General features: G+C 40.5%; 2 annotated features.

Moving 5' to 3' along the window:
- Positions 639-1,213: an enhancer, noted in NCBI's record as "H3K27ac-H3K4me1 hESC enhancer chr4:161494896-161495470 (GRCh37/hg19 assembly coordinates)". NCBI's record gives its function as "activates a minimal SCP1, AML or CMV promoter by ChIP-STARR-seq in naive H9 embryonic stem cells {active_cell/tissue: H9 hESC(naive)}" and the evidence as "EXISTENCE:reporter gene assay evidence [ECO:0000049][PMID:30033119]".
- Positions 1,214-1,788: an enhancer, noted in NCBI's record as "H3K27ac-H3K4me1 hESC enhancer chr4:161495471-161496045 (GRCh37/hg19 assembly coordinates)". NCBI's record gives its function as "activates a minimal SCP1, AML or CMV promoter by ChIP-STARR-seq in naive H9 embryonic stem cells {active_cell/tissue: H9 hESC(naive)}" and the evidence as "EXISTENCE:reporter gene assay evidence [ECO:0000049][PMID:30033119]".

Below are 8,043 nucleotides of genomic sequence, written 5' to 3' on the forward strand. Positions count from 1 at the left end.
TTTACAAAGGTTTGGTGATAAAAGGTTGAGCGTTCATACATGATAACCCAAATTTTATCAGTTAAATTGATTTTTTTTTTAAAAAAGGGTCATCTATGCTGGAGACCTAAGGCTTAAATTCAGTGGTAAAGGCATGGAAACATGATTGGATGCAATTAGGTTTCTACAAATGAGACTCAAAAAAGAAAGAAAAAAAGTCTTATTGTCAATAAGAGCTTTTTTTTGTTTTGTTTTGTTTTTTTTTGGTAGAGTTTTGCTCTGTCGCCTATGCTGGAGTGCAATGGCATGATATCGGCTCACTGTAATCTCCACCCACCAGGTTTGAGTGATTCTCCTGCCTCAGGCTCCCAAGTAGCTGGGATTACAGGGATGCGCCACCGCACCTGGCTAATTTTTGTATTTTTAATAGGGACAAGGTTTCACCATGTTGGTCAGGCTGGTCTCGAACTCCTGACCTCAGGTGGTCTGCCTACCTTGGCCTCCTAAAGTGCTGGGATTACAGGCATGAGCCACCGTGCCCAGCCAAGAGTATTGCTTTTATCATCTGAATCTGTCTTGAAACTTCTGCTTGTCCCTTGTGAGTGAGTGAAGGAGAAAATTTTCCAGTCCCAGTTGTGGGTATGTACAATCATGTTAGTCTATCTTCTGTTGCAAGGGTAGTACTTGTGTCTTCAGTTAACACTGAGGAAGTCAAAGGAGGCACAACTATTTTAAATCTTTTTATTGCCTCAAACAATTGCAACTAGTAGTCTTATTTTTATGGTGGTAAACTAGGTAAAAGAGATTTAGTGTCTAACCAAAGATCAGTGTTACTGCCCCAATGTAGGTAGGGGCAGAAGCCTCCAGGGTTTCCTAATAGAATTCGTCAGTGAACATTCTTTCATGGATAAGCCATTTGATATGAAAATGCATCACCTAAAATCTGTCGGGAGGAGCCAAGATGGCCAAATAGGAACAGCCCCGGTCTACAGCTCCCAGCCTGAGCGACGCAGAAGACGGGTGATTTCTGCATTTCCATCTGAGGTACCGGGTTCATCTCACTAGGGAGTGCCAGACAGTGGGCGCAGGTCAGTGGGTGCGCGCACCGTGCACGAGACGAAGCAGGGCGAGGCATTGCCTCACTTGGGAAGCGCAAGGGGTCAGGGAGTTCCCTTTCCGAGTCAAAGAAAGGGGTGACGGACGCACCTGGAAAATCGGGTCACTCCCACCCGAATATTGCGCTTTTCCGACCGGCTTAAAAAACGGCGCACCACGAGATTATATCCCACACATGGCTCGGAGGGTCCTACGCCCACGGAGACTCACTGATTGCTAGCACAGCAGTCTGAGATCAAACTGCAAGGCAGCAGCGAGGCTGGGGGAGGGGCGCCCGCCATTGCCCAGGATTGCTTAGGTAAACAAAGCAGCCGGGAAGGCGAACTGGGTGGAGCCCACCACAGCTCAAGGAGGCCTGCCTGCCTCTGTAGGCTCCACCTCTGGGGGCAGGGCACAGACAAACAAAAAGACAGCAGTAGTAACCTCTGCAGACTTAAATGTCCCTGTCTGACAGCTTTGAAGAGAGCAGTGGTTCTCCTAGCACGCAGCTGGAGATCTGAGAACGGGCAGACTGCCTCCTCAAGTGGGTCCCTGACCCCTGACCCCCTAGCAGCCTAACTGGGAGGCACCCCCCAGCAGGGGCACACTGACACCTCACACGGCAGGGTATTCCAACAGACCTGCAGCTGAGGGTCCTGTCTGTTAGAAGGAAAACTAACAAACAGAAAGGACATCCACACCAAAAACACATCTGTACATCATCATCATCAAAGATCAAAAGTAGATAAAACCACAAAGATGGGGAAAAAACAGAACAGAAAAACTGGAAACTCTAAAACGCAGAGCGCCTCTCCTCCTCCAAAGGAACGCAGTTCCTCACCAGCAACGGAACAAACCTGGATGGAGAATGACTTTGACGAGCTGAGAGAAGAAGGCTTCAGACGATCAAATTACTCTGAGCTACGGGAGGACATTCAAACCAAAGGCAAAGAAGTTGAAAACTTTGAAAAAAATTTAGAAGAATGTATAACTAGAATAACCAATACAGAGAAGTGCTTAAAGGAGCTGATGGAGCTGAAAACCAAGGCTCGAGAACTACGAGAAGAATGCAGAAGCCTCAGGAGCCGATGCGATCAACTGGAAGAAAGGGTATCAGCATTGGAAGATGAAATGAATGAAATGAAGCGAGAAGGGAAGTTTAGAGAAAAAAGAATAAAAAGAAATCAGCAAAGACTCCAAGAAATATGGGACTATGTGAAAAGACCCAATCTACGTCTGATTGGTGTACCTGAAAGTGATGGGGAGAATGGAACCAAGTTGGAAAACACTCTGCAGGATATTATCCAGGAGAACTTCCCCAATCTAGCAAGGCAGGCCAACGTTCAGATTCAGGAAATACAGAGAACACCACAAAGATACTCCTTGAGAAGAGCAACTCCAAGACACATAATTGTCAGATTCACCAAAGTTGAAATGAAGGAAAAAATGTTAAGGGCAGCCAGAGAGAAAGGTCGGGTTACCCTCAAAGGGAAGCCCATCAGACTAACAGCGGATCTCTCGGCAGAAACCCTACAAGCCAGAAGAGAGTGGGGGCCAATATTCAACATTCTTAAAGAAAAGAATTTTCAACCCAGAATTTCATATCCAGCCAAACTAAGCTTCATAAGTGAAGGAGAAATAAAATACTTTACAGACAAGCAAATGCTGAGAGATTTTGTCACCACCAGGCCTGCCCTAAAAGAGCTCCTGAAGGAAGCACTAAACATGGAAAGGAACAACCTGTACCAGCCACTGCAAAAACATGCCAAAATGTAAAGAACATCGAGACTAGGAAGAAACTGCATCAACTAACGAGCAAAATAACCAGCTAACATCATAATGACAGGATCAAATTCACACATAACAATATTAACTTTAAATGTAAATGGACTAAATGCTCCAATTAAAAGACACAGACTGACAAATTGGATAAAGAGTCAAGACCCATCAGTGTGCTGTATTCAGGAAACCCATCTCACGTGCAGAGACACACATAGGCTCAAAATAAAAGGATGGAGGAAGATCTACCAAGCAAATGCAAAACAAAAAAAGGCAGGGGTTGCAATCCTAGTCTCTGATAAAACAGACTTTAAACCAACAAAGATCAAAAGAGACAAGGCCATTACATAATGGTAAAGGGATCAATTCAACAACAAGAGCTAACTATCCTAAATATATATGCACCCAATACAGGAGCACCAAGATTCATAAAGCAAGTCCTGAGTGACCTACACAGAGACTTAGACTCCCACACATTAATAATGGGAGACTTTAACACCCCACTGTCAACATTAGACAGATCAACGAGACAGAAAGTCAACAAGGATACCCAGGAATTGAACTCAGCTCTGCACCAAGCGGACCTAATAGACATCTACAGAACTCTCCACCCCAAATCAACAGAATATACATTTTTTCCAGCACCACATCACACCTATTCCAAAATTGACCATATACTTGGAAGTAAAGCTCTCCTCAGCAAATGTAAAAGAACAGAAATTATAACAAACTATCTCTCAGACCACAGTGCAATCAAACTAGAACTCAGGATTAAGAATCTCACTCAAAACCACTCAACTACATGGAAACTGAACAACCTGCTCCTGAATGACTACTGGGTACATAATGAAATGAAGGCAGAAATAAAGATGTTCTTTGAAACCAACGAGAACAAAGACACAACATACCAGAATCTCTGGGACACATTCAAAGCAGTGTGTAGAGGGAAATTTATAGCACTAAATGCCCACAAGAGAAAGCAGGAAAGATCCAAAATTGAAATCCTAACATCACAATTAAAAGAACTAGAAAAGCAAGAGCAAACACATTCAAAAGCTAGCAGAAGGCAAGAAATAACTAAAATCAGAGCAGAACTGAAGGAAATAGAGACACAAAAAACCCTTCAAAAAATTAATGAATCCAGGAGCTGGTTTTTTGAAAGGATTAACAAAATTGATAGACCACTAGCAAGACTAATAAAGAAAAAAAGAGAGAAGAATCAAATAGACACAATAAAAAATGATAAAGGGGATATCACCACCGATCCCACAGAAATACAAACTACCATCAGAGAATACTATAAACACCTCTACGCAAATAAACTAGAAAATCTAGAAGAAATTGATAAATTCCTTGACACATACACTCTCCCAAGACTAAACCAGGAAGAAGTTGAATCTCTGAATAGACCAATAACAGGCTCTGAAATTGTGGCAATAATCAATAGCTTACCAACCAAAAAAGAGTCCAGGACCAGATGGATTCACAACCCAATTCTACCAGAGGTACAAGGAGGAACTGGTACCATTCCTTCTGAAACTATTCCAGTCAATAGAAAAAGAGGGAATCCTCCCTAACTCATTTTATGAGGCCAGCATCATTCTGATACCAAAGCCGGGCAGAGACACAACCAAAAAAGAGAATTTTAGACCAATATCCTTGATGAACATTGATGCAAAACTCCTCAATAAAATACTGGCAAAACGAATCCAGCAGCACATCAAAAAGCTTATCCACCATGATCAAGTGGGCTTCATCCCTGGGATGCAAGGCTGGTTCAATATACGCAAATCAATAAATGTAATCCAGCATATAAACAGAGCCAAAGACAAAAACCACATGATTATCTCAATAGATGCAGAAAACGCCTTTGACAAAATTCAACAACCCTTCATGCTAAAAACTCTCAATAAATTAGGTATTGATGGGACGTATTTCAAAATAATAAGAGTGATCTATGACAAACCCACAGCCAATATCATACTGAATGGGCCAAAACTGGAAGCATTCCCTTTGAAAACTGGCACAAGACAGGGATGCCCTCTCTCACCACTCCTATTCAACATAGTGTTGGAAGTTCTGGCCAGGGCAATTAGGCAGGAGAAGGAAATAAAGGGTATTTAATTAGGAAAAGAGGAACTCAAATTGTCCCTGTTTGCAGACAACGACATGATTGTATATCTAGAAAACCCCATTGTCTCAGCCCAAAATCTCCTTAAGCTGATAAGCAACTTCAGCAAAGTCTCAGGATACAAAATCAATGTACAAAAATCACAAGCATTCTTATACACCAACAACAGACAAACAGAGAGCCAAATCATGAGTGAACTCCCATTCACAATTGCTTCAAAGAGAATAAAATACCTAGGAATCCTACTTACATGGGATGTGAAGGACCTCTTCAAGGAGAACTACAAACCACTGCTCAAGGAAATAAAACAGGATACAAAGAAAGGGAAGAACATTCCATGCTCATGGGTAGGAAGAATCAATATCGTGAAAATGGCCATCCTGCCCAAGGTAATTTACAGATTCAATGCCATCCCCATCAAGCTACTAATGACTTTCTTCACAGAATTGGAAAAACTACTTTAAAGTTCATATGGAACCAAAAAAGAGCCCACATCGCCAAGGCAATCCTAAGACAAAAGAACAAAGCTGGAGGCATCACACTACCTGACTTCAAACTATACTACAAGGCTACAGTAACCAAAACAGCATGGTACTGGTACCAAAACAGACATATGGATCAATGGAACAGAACAGAGCCCTCAGAAATAACACCGCATATCTACAACTATCTGATCTTTGACAAACCTGAGAAAAAGAAGCAATGGGGAAAGGATTCCCTATTTAATAAATGGTGCTGGCAAAACTGGCTAGCCATATGTAGAAAGCTGAAACTGGATCCCTTCCTTACACCTTATACAAAAATCAATTCAAGATGGATTAAAGACTTAAGCGTTAGACCTAAAACCATAAAAACCCTAGAAGAAAACCTAGGCATTACCATTCAGGACATAGGCATGGGCAAGGACTTCATGTCTAAAACACCAAAAGCAATGGCAACAAAAGCCAAAATTGACAAATGGGATCTAATTAAACTAAAGAGCTTCTGCACAGCAAAAGAAACTACCATCAGAGTGAACAGGCAACCTACAAAATGGGAGAAAATTTTCGCAACCTACTCATCTGACAAAGGGCTAATATCCAGAATCTACAATGAACTCAAACAAATTTACAAGAAAAAAACAAACAACCCCATCAAAAAGTGGACGAAGGACATGAACAGACACTTCTCAAAAGAAGACATTTATGCAGCCAAAAAACACATGAAAAAATGCTCATCACCACTGGCCATCAGAGAAATGCAAATCAAAACCACAATGAGATACCATGTCACACCAGTTAGAATGGCAATCATTAAAAAGTCAGGAAACAACAGGTGCTGGAGAGGATGTGGAGAAATAGGAACACTTTTACACTGTTGGTGGGACTGTAAACTAGTTCAACCATTGTGGAAGTCAGTGTGGCGATTCCTCAAGGATCTAGAACTAGAAATACCATTTGACCCAGCCATCCCATTACTTGGTATATACCCAAAGGACTATAAATCATGCTGCTATAAAGACACATGCACACGTATGTTTATTGCGGCATTATTCACAATAGCAAAGACTTGGAGCCAACCCAAATGTCCAACAATGATAGACTGGATTAAGAAAATGTGGCACATATACACCATGGAATACTATGCAGCCATAAAAAATGATGAGTTCATGTCCTTTGTAGGGACATGGATGAAATTGGAAATCATCATTCTCAGTAAACTATCGCAAGAACAAAAAACCAAACACCGCATATTCTCACTCATAGGTGGGAACTGAACAATGAGAACACGTGGACACAGGAAGGGGAATATCACACTCTGGGGACTGTGGTGGGGTGGGGGGAGGGGGGAGGGATAGCATTGGGAGATATACCTAATGCTAGACGACGAGTTAGTGGGTGCAGTGCACTAGCATGGCACATGTATACATATGTAACTAACCTGAACAATGTGCACATGTACCCTAAAACTTAAAGTATAATTAAAAAAAAATAAATAAAATAAAATAAAATAAAATTTAAATCTATTCTAAACAAGAAAGAAAATGCATCACCTATGCTTGCATAAGATTTGTTGTTATTGTCGTTTTTATTCAATTGTTCTATCGAAAAGACAATACAAGGGAAAGTATTTTATATAGGTATAAAGTGACTAAGGAGATTTTGCTGGTAACAAATTTTCCTTCAAAAAGTCTGTTTATTTATTTAGAGAATCAGAATTCATTATCTAAGACTGCACCTTTTTATGATGAACACTTACATACATAGAAAATAGGACAACCTCTTCTAGCTCATGACTTACTGGAGGGAGGAAATACAGTATCACAATTGAGATGAAGTGCTAGAATAGAATGTCTTTTATATATGTGTTGGTAGTTTGGGCTAAAAATGACACAGTCTATCATAAATAAGACAGTACAATTCATTGAGAAATAGCCAATAAAAGTTGCATATCACTTCATGGAAGGCTAGAATGAAATCTTGGGTGATTCCATAACAGAGAACACAGTGCAAAACATGGTTTGAATATTGGGAAAGCTTCTTAAAAACCCGGCTTTCCTACAGTAGATTGTCTCATAGAAATAAAAAGACATCAACCTCTCCATAATCCTGAACATGAAATGAGAAATCTTACTAAGAACAGCTGCAGCTGCTTTTTCAAGAGAAGAAGATGTGATGATGTGGTAACAGATGCTCTGCTTCTCCCTCAGTGACAAACCATATTGGTGATTTCAAGTAGGGCTGGCATCTCAAAGAAAGCAATTAAGTTCTTTCTGAGTGATGGTGGTAAACCAAAGTGATTAGGACAGATTAAAGCACAGAAAGATAAACATCTTCCCCAAACAGAGGCTGAAGTTACATGACCACAATTAGTTTGGCAGGAAAAAAAAAAAGTCATGCATATGGTCATGGGCAGCAAATATATGTTTATTTCATATAAAATGGTTATTAAAATTATTTAATTTAAGATGACATATGCAGTCACATCAAGAAAATATTTTTGGTTAAAGTATTTGCTAATATTCTTTTATAATAGTTAAACAGTATATGGCCATGTTTTAAAGCTACTGTTTTAGAGAG

This window comes from Homo sapiens, chromosome 4 (genome assembly GCF_000001405.40).
Source record: "Homo sapiens chromosome 4, GRCh38.p14 Primary Assembly".
NCBI lineage: Eukaryota > Metazoa > Chordata > Mammalia > Primates > Hominidae > Homo > Homo sapiens.